The sequence below is a fragment of the Homo sapiens genome, chromosome 9, assembly GCF_000001405.40.
Source record: "Homo sapiens chromosome 9, GRCh38.p14 Primary Assembly".
In the NCBI taxonomy this organism is placed as follows: domain Eukaryota; kingdom Metazoa; phylum Chordata; class Mammalia; order Primates; family Hominidae; genus Homo; species Homo sapiens.
In genome coordinates, this window is record NC_000009.12 from 129,235,257 (window position 1) to 129,261,256 (window position 26,000).

General features: G+C 49.8%; 1 long non-coding RNA gene across 1 annotated transcript, besides 6 other annotated features; it reads left to right on the forward strand.

The window, feature by feature from the left end:
• The first annotated feature begins 972 nt into the window (after positions 1 to 972).
• On the forward strand, positions 973 to 25,341 carry IER5L-AS1 (IER5L antisense RNA 1). Its single transcript, NR_187590.1, has 7 exons — positions 973 to 1,055; positions 1,317 to 1,486; positions 21,642 to 21,676; positions 22,515 to 22,546; positions 23,073 to 23,128; positions 23,538 to 23,626; positions 23,745 to 25,341. It is a non-coding gene; the product is annotated as an IER5L antisense RNA 1 (long non-coding RNA).
• Positions 1,854 to 2,148: an enhancer, noted in NCBI's record as "tiled region #6917; K562 Activating DNase unmatched - State 4:PromP". NCBI's record gives its function as "activates a minimal TATA promoter and a strong SV40 promoter by Sharpr-MPRA in K562 cells {active_cell/tissue: K562}" and the evidence as "EXISTENCE:reporter gene assay evidence [ECO:0000049][PMID:27701403]".
• Positions 11,154 to 11,448: a silencer, noted in NCBI's record as "tiled region #6206; K562 Repressive non-DNase unmatched - State 5:Enh". NCBI's record gives its function as "represses a minimal TATA promoter and a strong SV40 promoter by Sharpr-MPRA in K562 cells {active_cell/tissue: K562}" and the evidence as "EXISTENCE:reporter gene assay evidence [ECO:0000049][PMID:27701403]".
• Positions 12,562 to 13,062: an enhancer, noted in NCBI's record as "H3K4me1 hESC enhancer chr9:132010097-132010597 (GRCh37/hg19 assembly coordinates)". NCBI's record gives its function as "activates a minimal SCP1, AML or CMV promoter by ChIP-STARR-seq in primed H9 embryonic stem cells {active_cell/tissue: H9 hESC(primed)}" and the evidence as "EXISTENCE:reporter gene assay evidence [ECO:0000049][PMID:30033119]".
• Positions 17,543 to 18,398: an enhancer, noted in NCBI's record as "H3K4me1 hESC enhancer chr9:132015078-132015933 (GRCh37/hg19 assembly coordinates)". NCBI's record gives its function as "activates a minimal SCP1, AML or CMV promoter by ChIP-STARR-seq in naive H9 embryonic stem cells {active_cell/tissue: H9 hESC(naive)}" and the evidence as "EXISTENCE:reporter gene assay evidence [ECO:0000049][PMID:30033119]".
• Positions 23,168 to 23,217: a silencer, noted in NCBI's record as "silent region_20370". NCBI's record gives its function as "represses an Ori minimal core promoter by ATAC-STARR-seq in GM12878 lymphoblastoid cells {active_cell/tissue: GM12878}" and the evidence as "EXISTENCE:reporter gene assay evidence [ECO:0000049][PMID:35858748]".
• Positions 23,351 to 23,889: an enhancer, noted in NCBI's record as "H3K4me1 hESC enhancer chr9:132020886-132021424 (GRCh37/hg19 assembly coordinates)". NCBI's record gives its function as "activates a minimal SCP1, AML or CMV promoter by ChIP-STARR-seq in naive H9 embryonic stem cells {active_cell/tissue: H9 hESC(naive)}" and the evidence as "EXISTENCE:reporter gene assay evidence [ECO:0000049][PMID:30033119]".
• Positions 25,342 to 26,000: the final 659 nt, after the last annotated feature.

Below are 26,000 nucleotides of genomic sequence, written 5' to 3' on the forward strand. Positions count from 1 at the left end.
CCACTCTTGGGACTGAGCCCTGGCTTGGCCATGCATGGCGTGAGTGGAATGAATGAATGGACGCCCGCTCTGCTTGGGAGACTGCACCTGTCCATTAAGCACCTGCTCCAGGCCAGGCCCGTCACCACCCCCACCCCCCACTGTGCTCGGGCTCCTTTTGGGCCACCATGAGCTCATGAGGTCATCGCATAGGCTCATAAAGTTGTTGTTATTGTCGTTGCTATTTTTCATCCCTGTCTTAGCCTGGTTGCCCTGAAAACAGAGCCTGTGATGAAGACTCAGGTGCAAAAGGGAAGGGCTCCGAGGGGGCTGTGTGAGGGGGTGGGAGAGTGAGGCTGAGCAGGAGAAGCCCATGTTAGGGTGTCATGGGGCTGGTCACCACTGTGGGCAGGGTGGCCTCCATCCCTACTGGGCCCCTCCAAGGGGTATATGGAAAGCAGCCCTCATCCCTCCAGCGTCCCAGCCCTCGTTGGTAGAGGTTGCCCTGGGCAACCCCGAAGTGCAGGCCTTTGGTGAGGACTCCCATTGGTGCCCCTCACCACTGTGTTGTCAGGGGGTGGGTAGGGGATGCAGAAAGTGAACTGAAGGACACACAGTGGGTGCAGGGGGCCACGCGCCTGCTGGGGTCTGTCCCCTTCCTGGAGCTTGCCTGGACGCAGTGATGAAGCTGCAGGCATGTGACACATTTGCTTCAGCTCCCATTCTACAGACAAGTCAACTGAGGCCCAAAGGTGAGGTCATTGGAATAGTGCCTACAGTCACTTTAAGGATGCAAAAGTGCTTTGAAGACTGTCAACTTCATTCTTTCATCCTTTCAAACCACATCCTGTTGCTGCAGGTGGGGCACGTGAGAAGCTCACATCCCTGCCCCAGCAGCTTAGGTCCTGGGGGTGGGACTGTGGGTGCTCACGATCCTCAAAGCTGCAGTGCCCAAGGTTAGGGAGCCACTGCTGCTGCGGGGCGGGGTCAGGCAGAGCCAGGCTGTGTCCTGGAGCCATCGGCCCCGTTGCAGGTGCTGCTCTGACTCTTCAAGTCTGTCCTCTCCCATGAGACGGGTGAGTGACAAGGCTCACCTTACACGGCAGTCTAGGGGGACTCAGTGGGTCTTTGCTGAGATAAGTGTGCAGTTGGGAGTTCTTGGAGCTGGGCAGCCCTGGGGCTGCAGGGACAGGCTCTGGGGTGGGTGGGGAGGATGCTGGGTGGGCGAGCAGACTCTGGGGGAGGGCAGACCCCGTGCCAAGGACTTTTTGCACCTTTTCCTATTTCACCCTCCCAGTTGCCCTGTGAGGCACACACGTGATCATCCCATTTTACAGATGCAAAGGAAAAGTGGCTGCGAGGGCCAGCTGCTTGTTCAAGATCATGCAGCCAGCAGTGGCAGAGCTGGGGACAGAGCCACGGCTGCTTACCACGAGACCACGGGCCTCATAGTGGAGGCCTCAGTCCCCAGCACAGTTCCTGAGACACAGGGCTTTGGAATGACATGGTGTGTTCCTGGGGGCTAGGGGTCCTGGGAACACGGGGCAGCCGGGGGTCCTACCCAAAGCCAAGCCTGTGTGTGGTAGGGGCTGCTTTCATTCTCTTTCCCTCCCCTCAACCTCCCCCCTGCCCCCGGCCCCTCCCCACAATCATTTTTTCTGCTTGCCCTGCAAGGATGTAGCCCAGCGGCTGTTTTCAGCTCTGGAAGTACCGTGCCTATAGACAGCGCTTGGCCAGGGCCTGGTTCTGGGGCCCCTCCCAGCCCTCTCCCCTTCAGATATTGAGGTTCCTCTTCCAAACGCTGGAGGAGTCCAGGGGCTTGCTGCCGGGCCAGGCCTGATTCTAGCCCACCTCCCTCATCTCCAGTCCTCACCTCCATCCCTGCCCAGGTAGTGAAATTTTAAACAGGCACATTCCTTCTGCCCAATTTTCATTAATTGGATCTAAAAGGGTTTCTATTTTCTCCCTGAACGCTGATTGATCCTGCCGAGGTAAACAGCACCGCCAAAAACAGGGAGGGGGGTGCTGCCGAGGGAGGGAGACGGGATAACTAATGTTACTTGACATTTACTCAGAGAGAGGAAGGGAGGAAGGGAGGGAGGGAGGTGAGTCACACGCCAGAGCCTCAGCCCCCAGATTCTGCAGAAATGAACAGCCATGAGGCAGGCGGGAGCGAGAGGGCTCCGAGAAGCTTCAGTTCCCCCAATTTTGCAGGCTTCAGGGACCCCTGGGGGTTCTCCACTCCTGGGAGGAGAGGGTCTCTGCGTCCTTAAATGGCTGTGCATTTAGCTCTGAAGGTGGGACCCCTGAGGACGCAGGCAGGCTGAGCTGATGGCTTTTCTGTTTGTGACACGAGAGATTCGAGTATATGTGAATGTATCTCTCCCTGGGGGAGCTCTTTGCAGGTGGGGGGTGGTGGAGGTGGCAGGGAGGGTTGGTGCTTGGTTTCTCCCCCTGCCAGAAAAACCCAAAAGCTCTACCCAGCAATCTTTGTCCCTGGCTGCCTCAGTTTCCCAACTTGGTGCTCTACCCACTAGAGTTTATAGGAGGCATAACTGTGGTTTGGGAACCTCGGATCAAGGGGAAGATGACAGGTAACCAGGGCTTGCTCTCTGTACTGGGATGGAAAAGCTCTGGCCCCACCATTACCACCTGTGACAATGGCCTACTATGTGCAGGGAAGTCATCTCTTCAATTGTTCAACAAGTGTTTGCTGAGCAGCTGCTAGGAGCCAAGCTCTCTGCTGGTTGCTGGAGCTCCAGGAGGGAAGAGCCTGCCTGGCTCCCACCTCCCTGCCTGGCCTCTGTTCTTTCCCATCCCTCCCTTCCCTCCCTGTTCCCTGGAGCTGTGAGTGCCACCCCCGGCAGGCCTGCCACCCTGTGAGATCTTCCTCCTTTGACCCCTGCCCTTAAGAGCTGGCTGTGTTACCTCCTCTTCTGGGAACCTGCTGGTCTCTTTGCCCCTAGAAGATCCTCCTTTCCTCTGAGTACCAATGGCCTCGGTTTTCTGGGACTGCCACATCCAACATTAAGCCCATCCTCTCCCATGTGCGCCTTCTCTTGAGTCCCATGATTTTTTTTTGTTTGTTTGTGAGACGGAGTCTTGCTCTGTTGCTCAGGCTGCAGTGCGGTGGTGAGATCTTGGCTCACTGCAGCCTCTGCCTCCCGGGTTCAAGCGATTCTCCTGCCTCAGCGTCCCGAGTAGCTGGGACTACAGGTGTGCACCACCACGCCCAGCTAATTTTTGTATTTGTTTTTTTTTTAGTAGAGGCGGAGTTTCACCATGTTGGCCAGGCTGGTCTTGAACTCCTAACCCCAGGTGATTGTCTCCTCCCGGCCTCCCAAAGTGCTGGGATTACCAGCCTGAGTCACTGCACCCGGCCAAAATCTTTGAGTTTTAAATTTCAATTATTGTAATGTTCATTTCTAGAGCCTCTATTTGGTTATTTTACGAATTCACTATGTCACTTTTCATAGCTTTTATGTTCACTGGTGTTACTTTAAGCTTGTATTTTTACTTTTTTAAGACATCGTAAGCATAACTGTTTTACAGACTGTGTCTGCTAATTCCAATATACAAAATTTTTTGTGGTATGCTTCTGTTGTTTCTGTCTGTTTTTTCTCATGGTGTCTTTTTTTGTGTGTGCCTAGTTTTCTTTGTGTGTTAGCCATAGTGTTTGAAAAATTAAAGTGCAAGGATAATTTAAAGCATGGATGAAGCTACCTTTCCCCAGAGAGCATTATTTTGTTTGTTTGTTTCTATCACATATTCCAATGTACTGTCTGGACCCACCTTAACCCAAGCCTGAGTTTCCCTGAGCTTATAATATATATAATAATATATTATATATTATATATAATAATATATTATATATTATATATAATAAATAATATATAATAATATATAATATATAATAATATATTATATAATTGTAATATATATAATATATAATATAAAAAATAATATATAAATATATAAAATATATAATATATATTATATATAAATATATAAAATATATAATATATATTATATATAAATATATAAAATATATATAATATATATTATATATAAATATATAAAATATATAATATATATTATATATAAATATATAAAATATATAATATATATTATATATAAATATATAAAATATATAATATATATTATATATAAATATATAAAATATATAATATATATTATATATAAATATATAAAATATATAATATATATTATATATAAATATATAAAATATATAATATATATTATATATAAATATATAAAATATATAATATATATTATATATAAATATATAAAATATATAATATATATTATATATAAATATATAAAATATATAATATATAAAAAAATATACAATATATAATATATAAATATATAATATATAATATATAAAAATATATAATATATAATATATAATATATAAAAAAATATACAATATATAATATATAAATATATAATATATAATATATAAAAATATATAATATATAATATATAAAAAAATATACAATATATAATATATAAATATATAATATATAATATATAAAAATATATAATATATAATATATAATATATAAAAATATATACAATATATAATATATAAATATATAATATATAATATATAAAAATATATAATATATAATATATAATATATAAAAATATATAATATATAATATATAATATATAAAAATATATAATATATAATATATAATATATAAAAATATATATAGCATATAAAAATATATTATACATTATATATAAAAATATATTATATATAATATATTATATATATTATATATATATATATAATTTTTTTTTTTGAGACAGGGTTTTGCTCAGTTACCCAGGCTGCAGGGCAGTGGCGCGATCACGGCTCACTGCAGCTCAGGTGATCCTCCCACTTCAGCCTCCCAAGTAGCTGGGACTTCAGTCATGCACCACCATGCCCGGCTAATTTTTGTATTCTTTTGTAGAGACGGGGTCTTGCCATGTTACCCAGCCTGGTTTCGAACTCCTGGGCTCAAATGATCCACCCACCCTGGCCTCCCAAAGTGCTGGGACCATAGGCATGAGCCACCGTGCCCAACCACGAGACTTCCACATTCCGTGGGTCCTGGGCTTTTATTTCCATCCCCTTTGTCCTTCACAGATCGGAGAGGAATGGCTCTTCCAGGCTTGGGATAGCTTGTTAGGCAAAAGTGGCTCCATGCCTATGCCTTTCTCTAAGTTCTTGTTTTTCCTTCAGGTCTGGTTTAAAGATTTCTTACTCTTTGATAAGCTTTTCATGCTTTGAAAAAAATATGTATTAGATTGAGATATTTCAACTTTTAAAGTTATCTTCAGCTACAATGCTGGTCACAATAACCTAGTCCACCATGACCAGAAGTCTGACTTACTTTTCTAAACAGGAAGTATGGCCACAATTCTCCCCCGCTGAGAAGCCTTGAGGGGTGCCTGCTGTCCTCCAGTAAAGACCCCACTCTTGACTGGGTCTCCCAAGGTCCTGGAGGATCTGGGCCTGGCCACCACCTCCTGCAAGCTCACCTCTCGGCTCCCCTCCCTGGTGTAGTCTGCTTCCATGACACTGAGCTGCTCTGGTCCCTGAAGGCCACTCACCTCTGTAGGTAGACAGGCGCTATTTGGTTCTTTCAGATTGAGGCACTTTTCCCTACCTCTTGGTCTGCTAAGTCCTCTTTGCCTTCTAGGTCTCCTGTTAGATACCACCTCCTCCAGGAAGCCTGCCCTGATTGCCCCACCCCAAAAACCCCTTGTGAGGTCATGTGTCTCTTCTGGGCTCCCACAGTTCCCCATACATCCTCCACTACAGCACTGACCACATTGGACTGTAATTACCTGCTTCTGTTAGACTGTGGGCTCAGCCAGTATTTGTTGAATAAATGAATGAATGGGTGGACAGATGGGTGGTTGGCTTCTCATTCTTCCCTGACATTGTTCACCACCTGAACTAGCAGTGCCTGATGAGAAGTCCTGTCCTTCTCTCATCCCCCTCCACCTCCCCGCCCAGTCCTTCGCACAGAGTGGCTCAAAGCCCCTTCTAGCACACACTTCCCTGACCCCTAAATCAAGAACTGGGGGCTGTAGGTCCCAGGAAGAGGAAAATATACAAGACAAGGCAGAGTCTTAATTCAAATACTCGGGAGCTCCATTTCCTGCAAAATTCACACTTGTACACACAAATTCCAAAACCGCCTGGCAAAAGAAGGCAAGATGGGAGGTGTCCAGGACAGTGATGATGTCCAAAAGGGCTGTGTCTCTGACTTGGGCTAGGATCCCTCACTGTGGGCCTGTGCCTCAGTCTACCCATCTGGAAGGCAGGGGAAACCATGTGATCTCCCTGACAGCACTGATGGGGTGGGGCAGATGGGGCATTCTCACCAGCTTTTACTGACTGCTTTCCCTAGCATATGTCCCCCCGCCCACGTTCCAACCCCTCTGCCTTTGGTGACGCTGTGCCCCTCTCCAGAAAACCCTTTCCCTCCCCTCACAAGTCACAGCCACCTCCTCCTTCAAGACCAAGCTCTGCCTCCCCTGTACAATGGGTGCTGACCGCCCTGGCCCATGCAGGCCCTGGCCAGCATCACCCTCCACAGGATTTGTGGTTTGGAGCCTTGATTGAGCACCACCTGTATGAAGGGCCTGAGCTGCGTACACAGCATTGAGTGAGACCTGCAGGGCCCCAGTTCTCCTGTTCTTGGGGTGTGTCCCAGACTCACCAGGGAAGGGGAGGGTTCTCACAAGGGCTGATGGCTCAGCTGGCCTCTTGGCAGTTCCCACCTCCCCTGATCCCTGGCTGTCACTCAGAGCTGGCTGGTGGGACTCAGAGGGTAGGGGAGGTGGCAGAGGAGCAGGTTTTCTTACTAACATTTGCAGGAGTGATGATAACATCCCCAAATATTGTAAGGTGCCTTAATATATATCAAATGTTTCCCCTATACCTGGTCACAATTACGGAAGACAAGGTGGGGCTGGGGGCTGGTTATTTTACAGATGAGGAGACCCGAGACCAGAGAGGGACCGTGACTGCCCAAGGTCACATAGATCTTTGGCCTAACTTGACACAGCATTCATTCACAGCCTGAGCACCGCTCTACGGAGCTCCTGGACAGATCTGCGTGTCCCCTCCTGGGAGTCCCATCCACTGGAGCCGCAGAGTGGGGGCAACACTGGACCCTGCATGCTGGTTGGGAGGGGAACTGGAAGAGTGGGCTTCATTCCACGTATAGGGGGAGCCCCAAAGAGTCTGTAGCCAAGGAAGTGACAGGGTCTGATTTGCTTTTAGAGGATCTCTGAGGCTACTGGGAGGAGAAGGCGTGGAGCTGGGTGAGAATGGAGGCAGGGAGGCCTAGGAGGGGCTGGCGGTGATGAGGCTGGGGTTGAGGAGGAGGCCGCAGGAAGGGAGACAAAGGGAGGCATTTGGAAAGCATCCAGAAGTCGCGTGGCTGGGACCTGATAACAGGTGTGAGCCAGGGGCTGAGAGGCAGGGAGGACTTAAGGTATGCAAGGACAGCTGAGGGAGGATGGGTGTCATTCGCAGATTGGAGGAGCCCTGGAGGAGGAGCCAGTCTGGCTGGGGTGCAGGAGGGCAGGGTGACAAAGATCCAGTTTTGGCCAAGGTGCCTTTGGGTCATGAGTGGGGACATGCAGTGTCTGTGAGGGTGGCTGGGATTTCGGGGCAGCCATGATCCAGTCGAAGCCCTTCCCCAGCCCCTGGCCTCCAGCAAAATCAGGACTTGGGGCCTGTTCCTTGGGGCCTCGGGAACACGCAGATCTCATTCCCCGCCCCAGTTTCTCTGGAAGGAAAACACCCAGGGCCTCGGTGGAACCGGCATTAATTTCCCCTGTTCGGCTCATCATTCCATCATCACGAGAGAGCCAAACAGATGACCATTTCGTCATTGCATATGCCCATGCGGGGCTTCCGTAATCTGATCACTTAATCACATGCTTATTCCATGAGGACGGAGGCACGGGCAAGCTCTGGGGCCCACTCCTTGGGCAGCGCATTTTGGACCAAGTCCCTTAGCGTTCCTGGCTGCCTCTGTTTCTCTGCCTGCCTTGGGAATCCAGACAGCCTCATGACAAGAGGAGATGAGGCAGTGGTTGCGGAAGAGCCTGGTCTCTCAGCCACAGCAGCCACGAGGTGCTGGCAAGCTCTCTGCAGCCTGTGCTGCTGGGAGGTAGAGGCTTCGGCAGCTTGTCCTCCTTGTGGCCTAACACACGCTGCCCGTCTCCCCACTTGCATGGAAGCCCCAGGAGGACACGCAGTTTGTCTCTTTGGTTCATCAGTGCCTGGGACAGTGCCTGGCACATGAGGGAGCTTAGGTGAAGTTTATCGAAATTTCCCATTTGTCTTTTTGTTTTGTTTTGTTTTTAAGACAGTGTCTCGCTCTGTCGCCAAGGCTGGAGTTCAGTGGTGTGATCTCAACTCACTGCAACCTCCGCCTCCTGGATTCAAGCAATTCTCTGCCTCAGCCTCCCAAGTAGTTGGGACTACAGACACACGCCACCACACCCAGCTAATTTTTTTTTTTAAGAGATGGGGGTTGTACCATGTTGGCCAGGCTGGTCTTGAACTCCTGGCCTCAAGTGATCCACCTGCCTTGGCCTCCCAAAGTGCTAGGATTACAGGCATGAGCCACCAAGCCCGGCCATGGCCCCATTTGTCTTAAATCCAGTGCTGGGACCTTCTGTTTCTTTCTATGTAGGACCCTAGGGCTGTGAACAGCTGCTGACCACCCGCCTTTCCATAAAACAGGGCTAATGACAAGAAGGACTTCCAGGAAGGACTGTTGTGCGGATGAAATGTGATCATCCACGTGGCACCCCCAGCATGGACCTGGCACACCGCAAGTGCTCACTGCTGTCTGCCATTGCTATGATGTGGAGGTTTACTCCCCTATCTAAATTTCAGTGAGGCTTCAGGCTGACCATGTCAGAGCTGAGCCTCAGTTCCCCTTTATAAGACGAGATGTGATGTGGCCCCCACCAGGCGTTGGAGGGATTCTGGAAGACACACAGAAGCCCATTAGCAAATGCCTGGATGTGAAGGGGAAGCACATTTCCTACTGGGATTTGCAGGCATGATGGTAATATTCTTTTCTTTTTGTTTTTGAGATGGAGTCTCGCTCTGTTGCCCAGGCCAGAGTGGAGTGGCGTGATCTCCGCTCACTGCAACTTCTGCCTCCTGGTTTCAAGCAATTCTCCTGCCTTAGCCTCCCGAGTAGCTGGGATTATAGGCGCTTGCCACCACGCCCAGCTAATTTTTGTATTTTTAGTAGAGACAGGGTTGCACCATGTTGGTCAGGCTGGTCTCAAACTCTTGACCTCAAGTGATCCACCTGCCTTGGCCTCCCAAAGTGCTGGGATTACAGGCGTGAGCCACTGCGCCCGGCCAACATTCTTGCACATTGTAAAGTGCTTTAAAATACAGTAAGTGGCCAGCATGGTGGCTCACGTTTGTAATCCCAGCACTTTGGGAGGCTGAGGTGGGTGGATCACCTGAGGTCGGAAGTTCGAGACCAGCCTGACCAACATGGAGAAACCCCTCTCTACTAAAAGTACAAAATTAGCCTGGCGTGATGACACATGCTGGTAATCCCAGTTACTCAGGAGGCTGAGGCAGGAGAATCATTTGAACCCGGGAGGTGGAGGTTGCCGTGAGCTGAGATTGCGCCATTGCACTCCAGCCTGGGCAACAAGAGCAAAACTCTGTCTCACAAAACAAAACAAAACAAAACAAAACAAAACAAAACAACAAAAAGAGACCAGTAAGTGCTTCCATATCTAGTCTCAGTTATGGAGGACAAGGTGAGGTTGATCATTTTACAGATGAGGAGAACTGAGTCCAGAGAGGGACTGTGACTGTCCAAGGTCACACAGCCAGCGGGTGCACTAGAAGCCACCTCTTCTGCCCACCTCCCCCGCCAAATGGGGCAGCAGGAAGGAGAGGACCAGGGGAGGGTGGACATGGCCGGAAGCTCCAGAAATGTCTCCAGCTGCGGAAAGAAAATTCAACCATTACTCTAGACAGAGACCTGGCGGCTGTGACTGCTTCCTCTTCTTTCCTCACTTCCTACATCGAAACCAGGACCCACTGGCTCTGTCCACATCAGTCCACGTGCCTCTCCATGCCCGTGGCCCCCATGCAGGCTGGGTCGTCACCATCTCCCTGCTGGAAGACTCCACACGGCAGCTGAGCAATGCCCCTGCTCAAACGCCAAGGCCCTGACTCATCCTCCTGCTTCCACCCTGGGTCCCCGGCATACACGATTGGGCCTGCTCCCTCCTGGCCTCATCTCCCCCGACCCGCACCCCGGCTCCCTGAACTCCAGCCGTACCGGCCTTTGGGCTAGCTCCCAACTCAGGGTTCCATGCTGGTTGTTCCTCCACCGGGGATGCTTCTCTGCATACTCTGTATAGCTGGCTCCTTCTCAACCTTCAGTTCTCTGTTGAAATGTTCCCTCCTTAGAGGGTACCTCTCCAATCAACCTATTTAAAGGAGATCCCTTCTGTTACATTTTTCTTCCTGTATTTTCATCTGCAGCGATTCTTGCCACTGGTAACCCTCCTTTCCTGCCCTCCTCTGTCTTGTCTTGTTCAGGAACTGCCTCTCTACTGGGGAGCATCTTCCAGAGAGGCAGGGGCCTGGGACATCTTTGCCATTTGAGGAATCTTTCTTTGCACAGGCCAGGCACTGAGTAGCTGCTCAATGGATATTTTTTATTTTATTTATTTATTTTTATATTTTAAAATTTTAATATTTTTTTGAAGATGGAGTCTTGCTCTGTCGCCCAGGCTGGAGTGCAGTGGCGTGATCTTGGCTCACTGCAACCTCTGCCTTCCGGGTTCAAGCAATTCTCCTGCCTCAGCCTCCCAACTAGCTGGGACTATGGACGTGTGCCAGCACGCCTGGCTAATTCTTGTATTTTCAGTAGAGATGGGGTTTCACTGGTCATGAACTCCTGATCTGCTGGCCTCAGCCTCCCAGAGTGCTGGGATTACAGGTATGAGCCACTGCGCCCGGCCAATATTTTTTAGATAAAGTAACGTATTCATCTGTAAGTAGTGATAGCCCAAAGCTGCGTGGGGTTGTTCTGAGCTTTCCGTGGATGATGCCTGAGGCCACTCCACACGTAGCTTCTGGCACAGAGCAGGTGCTTACAGACGGTGGCTCGGGTCACCCCCGGGATGGGAATGGATGGGGTGCAGGGGCCTGGGTCCCGGTCCCTACCATGCCTGGCACAGCTGCACAGGAAATCTGCCGAATGCTTGAATGAGAAATTTATAGGACGGAGAAATGGGGGTTAGTCATTGTCCTCCGCTATTGTTTTTGTTGCCTAGGAACCCCCCACCCCCACCCTTAGAGGTGAGTGACTTTGTGGAGTGAGGAACAAGGAGTGAGTGACCCAGAAAGTAGAACAGGCGCCCCGGGAAGGCAGAGGGACAGAGGGAGGCGCGGGAGGGCTCTATCTGTGGGATCCAGAGCTGGAGGAGGTGCTGGCTTCCTGGTTGGGTGGAATTCAGATTCACAAAGATTCCCCTGGTATCCACAACTTACAGAAGGAGTTTAAGATAAGGAAATGTGAACTTCTGCACATAGCTCCAAACATCAGCCGAAGGATGGGGGAGATGGAACCTAACGGCAGCTTGGCTGGAAACTCCAGGGGACTTGGATTGGCTCCGGCTTCGTATGGGTCTCCAGGGGTCCCCAGATGACCCCTGAGCCTGTAAGAGCTGCCCGGTACAGGATCTCTGGGGGTGCTTGGGATCTGAACTGTAGATCCTTTTCAAAAAAAAATTTAAAATTTTAATTAAAAAAAAAAAATAGAGACCGTGTCTCACTGTGTTGCCCAGGCTGGTCTCGAACCCCTGGGTCCAAGCGATCTTCCCGTCTTGGCCTCTGAAAGAACTGGGATTACAGGCATGAGCCGCCTCACCCGGCCTGAACTGTAGATCCCTAGAGCCTGATATAATGTTTCAGTCACCAATGCAGATTCTGCTTCACTGAGATCCTGACCCTTGTCCTCCTGTCCTGGGCCCCTCTAGGGGAACAGGGTGGGAATGCTTTGGGACGTCCACCTGGGCTCCATCTTCCTCATCCCAGGGTGAAACTACTTGAACTTTCCAAGTGGGTCAGGGTTTGGAGAGAAGGGTGTAGCCCAGCAGGAAGGAGAAATGACCCTGGTTCAAATCCCATCTCCACCACTTCCTAGCTGTTGAACCTTAGACAAATAGCTCAACTTCTCTGGGTCTCAGTTTTCTCTTCTGTAAAATGGGGATAATGATTGTTTCTCCCTAACGTCATGGTGGGGATTCCATGAGGCAACATCTCTGGAGTGTGTGGCATGACTCTCGGCCTCTGGAGCCGCATTTGGGCCCTGGGATGCCTTCTGAGCTGACAAAGTTCTTGCCCTGGAGGAGGCATGGGGGGCTTCCTGTTTTAAGCTGGGTCCCACATGGTGAGGGATGCAGCAATCACAGGCACTCAGGAGTGCCACCATCACACCAGCAGCAGCCGTGTAAATGGTGGCAAGAGTGACAGTGACGATAAGACAATGAGAACCAGCCTTGACAGAGTGCCCAGACCCTGCTTCACGCTGCGCTGAGCACCTTCCAAGGCTCATCCACATCACCCTCACCGAGGGCCTGGGAGGTGGATTTTGTCACTCTTCCTGTTTCACAGACAGAAAAGTCACACTCAGGGAGCTGAAATGACTTCCCCAAGGGCACCCTGTTGGGACCCAGTGGTGGCGGCTCCAACCCAGAAGTCCGGCTCGCAAGTCTGTGCCCTCAACCTCCTACCGGGCTGCCTGCTTTTTGTCCACCCTGTTCCTCCTACCTGAGCTAATGTCAACTGTTCTTCCTTCCTTTTTCATGGGCATTCTGCCTCAGAGAGGGATGGAAGTGAGGGTGTGGGTAGTAAACTGCAGGAAACTGACATGGGTGGGACCCTCTGTGACACTGGGCTCCCCCTATTGGTTCTGCCTGATTGAGGGCCTTCTAAGGCTTTAGGGGTTAATGGGGACAAGACTGACTAGCAGTGGGGCTTGGTATTCCCTGCTGAACTGACTCATCTCAAATCACCCAGACCCTTCAAGTCCAACTCAAGTTTTGATGTTTCTGTGAACTTCATCCCTGCAGGCCTCCCTGACGAGGCCACCCCTCTTATCTTCCCTATCCTAGGGCTAAGAAAAGAGTCGGGGCTTTGGAGTCTGTGGGGTCTTGATATGGTTTGGCTGTGTCCCCACCAAAATCTCATCTTGAATTGTAGCTCCCATAGTCCCCACGTGTCATGGGAGGGACCCATTGGGAGGTATTTGAATCATGAGGGTGGGTTTTTCCTACGCTGTTCTCATGATAGTGAATAAGTCTCACGAGGGCTGATGGTTTTATAAAGCGCAGTTCTCCTGCACAAGCTCTCTTGCCTGCCGCCATGTAAGACGTGCCTTTGCTCCTTTGCCTTCTGCCATGATTGTGAGGTCTCCCCAGCCATGTGGAACTGTGAGTCCATTAAACCTCTTTTTCTTTATAATTCTTTTCCTTATAAACTTCTTTTTCTTTATAAATTCTACCCAGTCTCGGGTATGTCTTTATTAGCAGTGTGGAAATGGACTAATACAGGTCTGGATTAAAACTCTGCCCATGTGCATCTATTAAAAAACCCACAGTTAATATTATACTTAATGGTGAATGACTGAAAACTTTCCCCTTAAGATCAGGAACAAAACAGGGATGCCCACTCTTGCCACTTCTGTCCAACAATGTACCAAAGGTTCTAGCTAGGACAGTTTGGCAAGAAAAATAAATAAAAGTTGTCAAGATTAGGAAGAAAAAAGTAAAATGATCTCTATTCACAGATAACATGATCTTGTATATAGAAAATCATAAGGAATACACACACACGCACACACACACACACAAATGAGAACTAATTAATATATTTTGCAATGTTACAGGATACAAGATCAATATATAAAAATGGATTATATTTCTATACACTAGCAATGAATACTCCAAAAATGAAATTAAGAAAACAACTCAATTTGCATCAGCATCAAAAACAACAAAGTACTCAGGAATAAATTTAACAAAAGAAGTGTAAGATTTGTATGCAACGGTGTTGAGAGAAATTTAAAGAAACCAGGCATGGTGGCTCATGCCTGTAATCCCAGCACTTTGGGAGGCAGAGGTGGGAGGATTGCTTGAGCTCAGGAGTTCAAGACCAGCCTGGGCAACATAGGGAGAACTCGTCTCTACAAAATAAAAAAAATTAGCCAGGCATGATGGCGTGCGCCTATGATCCCGGCTACTTGGAGGCTGAGGTGGGAAGATCACTTGAGCTTGGTAGGTTGAGGCTGCAGTGAGCTGTGATCGTGTCCCTGCACTTCATCTTGGGCAACAGGGTGAGACTGTGTCTCAAAAAAAAAAAAAAAAAAGAAAGAAATTAAAAGAAGACCTAATTAAATAGAAAGACACCCTGTGTTCATGGATTAGAAGACTTAATATCACTAAAATGGCAATACCAACCAAACTGATTTACAGATTCAATTCAATCCCTATCAAAATTCCAGTTGGCTTTTTGCAGAAATTGACAAGCTGGTCCTAAAATTTACATGGAAATGCAAGAGACCCAGAATAGCCAGACAATCTTGAAAAAGAACAAAATTGGAGAACTCACACTTTCTCGTTTCAAAACTTACTACACAGCTATAGTAATGAGACTGTGTGGTGCTGGCGTAAGAATAGCCTATAGATCAATGGGATAGAACTGGGAGTCCAGAAACAGACCTGTACATTTATGTTTATGTTCAATTGATTCTTGACAAGGGTGCCAAGACCATTCAATGGGGGGAAAGAACAGATTTTTCTATTCTTTGGACAATTGTATATCCAGATCAAAAGAAGGAAACTGAATCCTGACCTCACACCATATACAGAACTTAACTCAAAATGGGTCACAGACTTAAATGTAAGAGCTAAAACTGCAAAACTCTTGGATAAAAATATAGGAGTAATGGCTGGGCATGGTGACTTACGCTTGTCATCCCAGCACTTTGGGAGGCTGAGGCAGGTGGATCACCTGAAGTCAGGAGTTCGAGACCAGCCTGGCCAACGTGGTGAAACCCTGTCTCTACTAAAAATACAAAAATTAGCAGGGCGTGGTGGCAGGCACCTGTAATCCCAGCTGCTTGGGAGGCTGAGGCAGGAGAATCGCTTGAACTTGGGAGGCGGAGGTTGTAGTGAGCTGAGATCACAGCACTGTACTCCAGCATGGGTGACAGAGCAAGACTCTCTCTCTCTCTCTCTCATATATATATATTTATATTTATTTATATACATTTGAGTAAATTTTTATGACCTTGGATTAGGCATATGACACCAAAAGCACATGGACAAAACATAAATAGAAAAATTGACTTCATCAAATTTGAAAATGTCTGTATTTCAAAAGACACCAAGAAAGTGAAAAGATAAACCACGGAATGGGGAGAAAATTTTGCAAATCACATATCTGACAAGGGACTTATATCTGGAATACATAAGGAACTCTTACAACTCACTAATAGAAGACAATCCAATTTAAAAATGGGCAAAGGATTTGAATACACATTCCTCCAAAGGAGACATACAAATTTCAATAAGCACATGAACATCAACACCATTAGTCATGAGGGAAACGCAGCTCAAAACCACAATGAGATGCCACTTCACCTTTATGGGATGGTGGACAAAAACAAGTGTTGATGAGGATGTGGAGAAACGGGAACCCTCAAGCATTGCTGGTAGGATTGTAAAATGGTGCAGTTACTTTGAAAAACAGCTTGGCAGTTCCCCAGAATGTTAAATATGGAGTTGCTATGACCCAGCAATTCTACTCCTAGGTATATACCCAAGAGAACTGAAAACATATAGTCACACAAACACTTATGCACATTATAAGCATTTTATTTTTATTTTTATTTTTGTTTTGAGATGGAGTTTCACTCTTGTCACCCAGGCTGGAGTGCAATGGTGCGATCTCAGCTGACTGCAACCTCTGCCTCCTGGGTTCAAGCGATTCTCCTGTCTCAGCCTCCAAATAGCTGGGACTACAGGCATGCGCCACCACGCCCGGCTAATTTTTGTATTTTTAGTAGAGTCGGGGTTTCACCATATTGGCCAGGCTGGTCTCGAACTTGGTGATCCATCCGTCTCACCCTCCCAAAGTGCTGAGATTACAGACGTGAGCCATCTTGCCTGGCCAAGCATTTAAATACTTAGAGCAGCTTTATTCATAATCACCAAAGGATGGAAACAATTCAAATGCCCATCAACTGATGGATGGGTAAATAAAATGTGGTGTATCCTACAATGGATTATTATTTGGCAATAAAAAAGAATGAAGTGTTGACACACGGCATGACATGGATGAGCCTTGAAAGCACGGCGCTAAGTTAAGCAGTTAGACACAAAGGCCACATTTCCTGTGATTTCATTGATATGAGATGTTCAGAACAGGCAAATCCATATATATAGAGAGAGGGCAGATTAGTTGTTGCCAGGGACTGGCAGGAGGGCAGGATGGGGAGTGACTGCTAATGGGTAAGAAGTTTCTTTTGGGGGAGAAAAAAATATTCTGAAATTTGACAGTGGAAATGGTTGCACAGCTCTGTGAATAGACTAAAAACCATTGAGTTGTACACTTTAAAAGGGCGAATTGGAGGCGGGCAGATTGCTTGAGTCCAAGAGTTTGAGACCAGCCTGGACAACATGATGCACGGTGAAACCCTGTCTCTACAAAAAAACAAAACAAAACAAAACAAAAATAGCCAGATGTGGGGGAACATGCCTGTGGTCCCAGCTACTCAGGAGGCAGAGGTGGGAGGATCACTTGAGCCCGGGAGGTTGAGGCTGCAGGGAGCCGTGACAGCACCACTGCACTCCAGCCTGGGCGACAGAGTGAGACCTCATCTCAAAAAGAGGAAAAGGTTAATGTTATGGCGTATGAATAAGCAGTTATTCAAAAAAGAGAGGGGGCTCATCTCTAACTCACAGGAAATACAGGGAGAGACAAACGAGTTAAAAAACACTGCAAGGGGCCGGGTTTGGTGGCTCATGCCTGTAATCCCTGTATTTTGGGAGGCCAAGGTGGGCGGATCACTTGAGGTCAGGAGTTCAAGACCAGCCTGACCAACATGGCGAAACCCCATCTTTACTAAAAATACAAAAATTAGCCGGGTGCGGTGGAGTGTGCCTGTAGTCCCAGCTACCCGGGGGGCTGAGGCAGGAGAATCGCTTGAACCCAGGAAGTGGAGGTTGCAGTGAGCCAAAATTACAAATTGCATCGCTGCATTGTAGCCTGGGTGACAGAGTAAGACTGTCTCAAAAAAAAAAAAAAAAAATGACACGATGAGGAAGCAAATAGACCAATCCAGGTTGTGGACACTTGTAGGACACTGGCCCCGTTTCTTCAATAAATCGATGGCATGAAATGAAAAACTTTTTAAAAAGCAATAGGACATAGCAACCATATGCCACGTGGAGATATTACCTGGATCCTAACTTGAACAAATCACCTGGGAAATGACCCTGATGAGAATATCTGGGAAATTAGATGATGCCATGGGTATCAGATGATCCCACGGAGAAGCCGGGATGAGAATCCCAGCCTACTGGATGCTGATCCCTGGCTCTCACCTCCTCGTGTCCCTGTGGACATGGTGGCTGCACCCAGCAGTTGACGTGTGTGTGTGTGTGTGTGTGTGAGTGTGAGTGTGTGTGAGCTGGGGAGGGTGAGTTCACCTCTCTGAGGCCAGCTGAGGCCCGTCCCGAGGTGAAAACTGTTTTCCTCTTGCAAGGGTACAGGACACTGGAATGTCCTTTGAGCTGGCCGCGGCCATCACACAGGGCCTCAGTCCATGCCGAGCCCTCCACCTCTGCCCCAGGTCACCCTCTGCCCCCCTACTCCGGATGTCCAGGAGCCAGGCTCAGCAGCCCAGGCAGCTGGACAAAGGGGCCTTTGGAGGCTGGGCCAGGCCTGTGCCTCAGCTGTGGGCTGTGGCTGAGGCCACCACAGAAGGCTGCTTGTGGCCGGGCCGGGTGGCAGCCAGAAATAGGTCCCGCTGGGCGCTGACTCCTGCGGCCCCGCCCTGGGCTCGGCCTGGGAACGTGGGTATTTGTGGAGCTGATGGGAGGAGACCTTCATCAGGAAAGCGGGTCTATTTTGGGGCTTTTGGGAAGCGTGTTAAAAAAGGGGCCCCAGCCTTTAGCGTTTACCCTGAGCCCCTGCCTTTCATGCACAGGCTCCTGAGCCCCCGGGGTTGAAATCCTGGCTCTACCCGGCTAGCTGTGTGCCCTACGTGCTGTGTGGTCAGTCACCCCACTCTGAGCCTCGCTCTGCTCATCTGTGTGATGGGGACGAATCTTGACAGCTCCTTCATGGAGAAGATGGGGGCACAGCACCTGGCACAGTCTGCGCTCACCAGGTGCCCGAGGTCATTGGGCTTCCCCTCCCCCTTCCTCGCCTTCCGCCCTGGCTGGGGGCTGCTCCTGCTGTTGAGGTCTCTCCCAGCCCCTGGGCTGGCTCTGCAGGGCCCTGGAAGGTGGTTTGGGGCACACACTAGCCTCACCGTTGTTTAGGGGGATGGAAACGCAGAAGACCTGGCAGAGCCTTGCAAGCCCCTTGCAGCTGGGCGGCCCCTCCCCTCCCGGCTGGCTCCCTGGTTATCCACAGCCTCGCGGGCTCAGCCCTGGACCGCAGCCTCCGTCCTTCCATCATGCACCGGGGCCCTGCAGGACTCATGCTCAGCGCTGGCTGTGGGAGAAATTTCAGCCGCCTCCCCCGCGACTTCTGCGTCTGCTTGTCTTGGTGATGGAACTGCTGGCGGAGGAGCTCTGCGGGTTTAGGCCCGTGGTCCATGGGGAAATACAGACCAGGGTTCAAAGCCAGAGTCAGAGGGCGGCAGGGGGCCTTGGAGAGGGAGAGAGATAGGAGTCGTGTGTAGCCAGCTCTCCTGGAAGCCGGGGGCCAGGTCTCCCCCTCCCGGCCCCTGTGTGTCCTTGAAGCTATTTTTATATGTTGCTGGAAACCAGAATGACAGCCAGAGCCAAAGCGCTAGGAGGTTTCCCGTGCACCATGGGTCTTGCCCAGGGGACCATGGGCCATTCCCAGCAGATTGATGGAGACAGTCCAGAAGCTCCACTGTGCGGATCGGGGAGCCTGGGTCCCCCATCCCTTACCAGCTTGGAGGTCACTGTTGGAAGATCCCTGGCTGGCACAAAAATGAGGAACAAGGACTTAGAGAAGCGATGGTGAGGCTGCAAGTGTTCTGGGGTCTTTGAGCCCTGCACGAAAATCCAGAATGCTCATGGAGTTCAAAACTCATTCATGGCTGGGTGCAGTGGCTTCACACCTGTCAATCCCAGCACTTTGGGAGGCTGAGGCGGGTGGACTCCTTGAGTCCAGGAGTTCGAGACCAGTCTGGGCAACATAGTGAGATCCTCTCATCACTCCAAAAATAAAAAAAATTAGCTGGGTGTGGTGGCATGCACCTATAGTCTTAGCTACTTGGGAGGCTGAGGTGGGAGGATTGCTTGAGCCACAGGGAGGTCAAGGCTGCAGTGAGTGAGCTGAGATCACGCCATTGCACTCCAGCCTGGGCAACAGAGCGAGACTCTTTCTCAAAAAAAAAAAAATAAATAAATAAAAAAGGAATTCATTCATTCACCACTGACCTCTTTACTCATCACATATTTAAGCAGAATCTTATAGGTGCTGATGGGGGTGGGGGTCACCCACAAAACATCCAGGGCCCTGCTCTCAAGGCACTCACGAATCTGCCTGCTCCAGTCTCTGGCTCTGAACCCTCCCATGGCTCCCCATTGCCCATGGAGACAGTGGGATCTTTGTACTCTGACAAGAGCAAGTCACAGAAATGTTGCCTGCTCACCTGCGCCTCATGAGAGAGCATCCTCACCTTGCCCGTTGGGCTTTCCCCCACGTACCCCCTTTTTCCCAGTCTGGTCAGGATCTTTCAGGGGGCGACTGAGGGGACAGGACTGGGGCAGGATGGGAGAGGCTGAGATGCACACTTGCTGGGTGAGCTCTGTGCTGTTGTTTTTGGAGGGACTCTGGGAAAAACAGAAAGAAAACAAAGCACTGGAGTCACCCGGGCTAAGCTGGGTGGAATGAAGAAGAACCGAGTGAGCAGAAAGAGGGCAGGGGACTGCAAATGGGGAACTCGGGGGGTGGCATATAGTGCAAGGGTCCTGGAGGGAGAGGTGATGGGGCTGAGAAGTCCTGCTGAGGGGTATAAATTGGACTCTCCTTAGTGTGACACAAAAAATATTGAAAGTCCCTATAAAGAATGTTGGGTTGCTGCCCCGAGCTGCTTTAGTGAGACTCTGCAGAGATGGGGCCACATGGGCCCCGGAGTTACTCGAGTTACATCTGGATGGCTTGCAGGGCTTTCCATGATCTGTGGCCCGCCCAGCTCTTCAGCTTTACTGCTCATCTTCTTGCCTTTTGCCTCCCCTAAATCCTCATCTAGATTCCACCTTCCAGCCTGACCTGGTTCTTCTGACCTCCCTGAGAGCATCTTGCTTCCTGCTTCCCACAGCCTTATGGTAACAACTGCCTGGGACCTGTCTCCACCCCCATCCCGTGGCTCTTGTCTGCTGGGCCCCAATTCTCCTTCCTTGGTCACCTGTTTGAAACGCACAGACTGACTATTCCTCTCTTGCTTCCTACTGTGGTATCATTTTTAGTTCCACCTTAAAAAGAAGAATATGAAATTAGTGCACAGGTAAATTTTCCTAGCCTGTTCTTAGAATAATCCAAAGAAAAAACCCAGAATATCCAGGGAAGTGAGTTTGGCTGGTCACTTTGTCTTGCTGGTTCACAATGAAACATAGTGATTCATTCATTAAACAAAAATCATTTAGTTTGGGGCCAGTGACATAAATATACTTAGTGGAACTCAAGCCTCTATAATCCCAACCCTAACCCCCAAACCAAATCTAAACCCAGTTCTAGCCCCAATACCAACCACAATCTTAAAGCCAACCCTAATCCCAAACCCATGCTAACTCCAATCCTAACCTCAACCCTAAATCCAATCCCAAGCCTAACCGAAACACCAAAACCAACTCTAACCCCAACCCAACTCTAAACCTAACCGAAAACTCAACTCTAACCCCAGATCCAACCCTAATTCTAATCTTCCTGTTAAAAGTCTTCCTTCCTTCCCTCCCTCCCTCCCTCCTTCTCTCTCTCTCTCTTTCTCTTTTCTTTCTCTCATGGAAACGGACTCACTCTGTTGCCCAGGCTGGAGTGCAGTGGTGTGATCAAGGCTCACTGCACCTTCGAGCTCCTGGGCTCAAGCCATCCTCCCACCGCAGCCTCCTGAGTAGCTGGGACCCACAGGCATGCACCTGTGGGTCATACCTGGCTAATTTTTGTATTTTTTGTAGAGATGGGGTTCCATTATGTTGCCCAGGGTGGTCTCGAACTCCTGGGCTCAAGCAATCTGCCCATGTCGGCCTCCCAAAGTGCTGGGATTACAGGCGTGAGCCACCATGCCCAGCCTCAGCCTTCCTTTTCTTTCTTAGTGCAATGTGCAGAGTATGATGAAATGCATTTCTGATTCTAGATTGTCCAGTGCCTTCAGATTGGAACAGGTAGAAGGTGAGTGAAACTGGATTGAATATAAGCCCAATCCCGGGAATCACTTTGAAAAACAGGGGTGTGTATTTTAGTTTAAGTCCCCAGGAGCCTATTTTGTGGCCATTTTCGAAAATCAAGATCCTTAGTGTGACCCTATCTAACTGGCCTTCCATAGACGCCTCCCTTGCCGGCTTCTGGACCACACAGACATTGTCCTTGCACGCATGCCCAAGCTCCTTCTGGCCTCCAGGCTCAGAGCACCCACACGCTGTTCCCTTTGCCTGAAATTCTTTTCCTCCACTCCTCACCAGGCTAACTCTGGCTCAGTCCTCAGGTCCCTCTTAAAGGTCACCTCCTCAGGGAGGCCTGCCCTGCCTGCCCCTCCCCCAGCTCCTTTTTATTTCCTACGTGCTCATGGCTCATGAGTTTTCCTTTCAGGGCATTTATGGATATTTGTGGCTGCGTGTTTGTTTGCCTGTTTATTTCTTTAACGTCTGTCTCCCCAGCCAGACGGTGACCTCTTTCAGGACAGGAATGTTTTGTTCACAGTTGTAGCCTGGGTATCTAGCACAGTGCCTGGCACACAGCAGACTTACAGAAAACTGTTGAATGAATGAATGAATGAGTGAATGAATGAAGGAGTGCATTTCCCACTTCTTCCTAAAAGTGAAACAGATTTCAGCTCATTGAAACTCCTGGCTAGGGGGTATTTGTTGGTCTCAGGCCCTGCTCTGGGCCCTGGGGAAGCCAGGTAAGAGGGACGCGGTCCCTCGGTGCAGCCATCTGTTTCTGCCTCCATTGAACTCTCTCAGGCTTACTTAGAAACAGAGGTTTTTGAGAATCCATTTTCTCATTTCAGATTCTCCTCCACGTGGAGTGGGAAGTCGGCAGGTATCATCTCCACTGCTTCACAAGATGCTTTTTCCCAGAGAGGCAAAAACGCCCGTGAGGGTGACCCGGCTGGGAGGCAAACCCTGTCCTGCCCCCAGCTCTTGGCACTGTAACTTTCTTTCTGCCCCTGCACCCAGAAATGCTCATCTGTGTCTACCTCCGGGAACTCAGCAGCCTGGATGCTGCATGAGACCCTGAGGGACTGCAGTACCATCTTCCCAGTTTGTCGACAGGCACGTTGAGGCAGGTACTGGGATCAGGCTTGGGCAAATGAGCCTCTGAGAGGGTGGATCCTTCACTTACGAATGAGGTCCTTCTTTCCATAGGAGCAGGAAAAAGGCCGTTTGTCGTAAGGGTCACTGCTGTTACTGGTCACCTCTGGGTGCGAGTCCTGGGCTAATCGCATATCTTGCGGGACCCTGACAACTCCCCCATTTATCAGATGAGGCAAAGCAAGGCTCAGTCACTTGCACAACGCATATCGCTAGTAAGCGTTGCTGGTGGGATCACACTCAGCACTTCATAGGCAAAGAAAATCCCAGGAGTGCCGAGGAAACGCTGTCAAGATGTCAAAAATACGCGGTAAGACGTCAGCCCGGTGAGCATCCTCCGCACTGCGGACCGCCCGGGGTCGGGGTCACCCGGGCCCCGCCCCGAGCTTGCTGTCGTATCGGCCCCGCCCCACCCACGCCCTCCCGGCCCCTCCTGCTCCGGGCGCGCTCGGCTCCGCCCCCACGGGCAACACGGCCTCCCATTGGCCGCGGTTTCCATGGTTACGCGGGCCGGCGGAGCTGCGGGCTCCCAGACACGTGTCCCCGGGAGCCGCCCAGAATTTGACAGGGGACCATGTGCGCGGCAGCGCGGGAGCGAGACAAAGGACCGGGGGAGGCGGGGAACGAAGCCGGGCGGAGGGGTCCGCGTGGCCCGGGCGGGGATGGGCCCCGCGCTTCTCCTGCGAGCAGGGCACCCCCTCTTCCTTTTTATTTTGAAGGAAAGGGAAAAAAGGAATTGCTACGGAAAGAGAGGTGGGAGAGGAACCCAGTCAATTTCACCTGCTCCCCTTCCTCCAGGAAGAATCGGGTACGCGGGCATCTGAGAACCCGCAGGGTTTCTGCTTATGCCTCCCGGCCCTGAGTTTCTAACCCCACATTGACCTCAGACCTTGAGGTTTAAATTCTGTTTCTCTGTCTTGTTCTAGAACCGAAAGCTTAATAAGTGTGGTTGTTTTGATATTCGAATCATGAGACCCAAGGCATCGTAGGGGACCTCGCCTGCATCCATTCGCCTATCCATCCTACAGCAGCGACTGCACCCCTGATTGTGATGACGAATGCACCCCCATCCTTGGGCTCCGTGCCCACTGCTGGGCTGGGCTGCTCCCTCAGGTGCGGCAGCCAGAGGAGGTGTGGACTCCCATCCCACGCGTTTATCCTCCTGCAGCCTCTCGAGCTTGGTGGCATAGCCGTCCTTCCAGTCCCCAAGCCAGATGTCCTTGATGCCCCTTCTCCCAGCCCCATCCCCATCGCCAGTTGTATCAGTTTTCTATTGCTACTGTAACAACTCACTACAAATTGAGTGGCTTAAAACAACACACATCTACTCTCTTACAGTTCTATAGGTCAGAAATCTGACATGGTCTCAGAGGGCTAAATTCAAGGTGTCTGCAGGACAGTGTTCCTGCTGGAGGCTCTTGAGGGAGAATCGGTTTCCTTGCCTTTTCCAAGTATAGAGGCCGCCCACATTGGCCCCCTTCCGTCTTCAAAGCCAGCAATAGCTCCGAGTCTTTCCTCCCTAGCATCGCTGTGACGCTGACTCTCCTGCCTCCCTCTTCCACATTTAAGAACCTTGTGATTACATTGGTCCTCCCAGATAATCCAGAATAATCTCCCCATCGCAAAATCAGCTGATTAGCAACCTCAATTCCACCTGCAACCTTAATTCTCCCCTGTCATGAAATATAAGAAGGAGATCCATATGTTCCGGGGATTGGGATGCAGACATTTTGGAGGCATTGTTCTGCCGACCACGCCATCCTGACAGTTTTACCTCTGGAATCTCTGCAGTCCACCTCCGCCTCGCCATTCCTGCACCACTCCCTTTCTGGTTACCCGCTATTTTCCCAAGATGCCTTCAGTAGCACCTATCCACTGTTGTCATCTCTCTAACCTCCCTCTGTCCACAGTCCCCTGGGCCCCCACTCCAAGACAAAGATGCAGATGTCGCTACTTCCATGGCACTGTCATCTGCAAGGGAGCATCCTAACTCTCCTTGGGCACACACAGGCCCTCAACCTGCCCTACCCCATTGGTTCCTCCGGATCCATGACCCCTCCCACCCTCCGCCTCACACCCCTGTGCTCCCTTAATAGTAAATCACTTCTGGTTCTCTTAAGATCCTGGGGCATTTGGTTCTTCCTGGCCTTGGCCTGTGTGGCTCCCATTCTCTGAACTGTCCTGCCCACCTTTATTCGCCTCCCCCAGGAAGCCTCCCTGACCCCCCAGACCCTTTCATTGCCCTCCCTTGGAACAGAAATGTGCTTTTCACTGACTGGATTGGCCCAAAGAGATCTGAACTTGAGGCTGCCTCCTCATGTCACTGAGAGCCCTCTGGGGTGGGCACTGTGCCTTGCTTGCCTCTTTGGTCATAGTGCCCAGCATGAGATTGGTCACATAGTAGGTGCTCAATGAACTCAGATTGAACTAAACTCAAGGACTTGGTCGGGGGGTGGTGGTGGTGAGAAGACCAGCTGGGCTGCTTGGGGAAGTAAAGTATAAAGTTGGATGGAAAAGCACGAGGACCTTGGCTCTATTTCTGGTTCTTGGGGTGGAATAATAATGACAGCAACACCAATGGTGGCTGGCCCCAAAGGTCGTCCCGTGCCAGGCATAGGCTAAGTGCTTTATGAGAACATTATCAATCAATTCCCACAACAGCCTTAAGAGGTACCAACTTTATCAGCATCCCCATTTTAGAGATGAGGGCCCTGAGGCTGGGCCAGGAAGTTATCTTGATCTTGGCTGTCCCTGATTGGAGGGGTGGTGGGAGTTGGGGACGGGCGGCTCTGGCAGAGACCTGCAGGGAGGTTGCAGCTGGCCTGGCCTCTGGAAACAGCCACCTTAATGCTCTGCCCTGAAGCCTCTTTTTTTTTTTTTTTTTTTTTTTTTGAGACAGAGTCTCGCTCTGTCACCTAGGCTGGAGTCCAGTGGCATGATCTCAGCTCACCGCAACCTCCACCTCCCAGGTTCAAACGATTCTTCTGCCTCAGCCTCCCAAGTAGCTGGGACTACAGGCACATGCCACCACACCCGGCTAATTTTTGTATTTTTAGTAGAGTTGGGGTTTCACTATGTTAGCCAGGATGGTCTCGATCTCCTGACCTCGTGGTCTGCCCCCGCCTTGACCTCCCAAAGTGCTGGGATTACAGGCGTGAGCCACCGCGTCCAGCCCCCCAAGC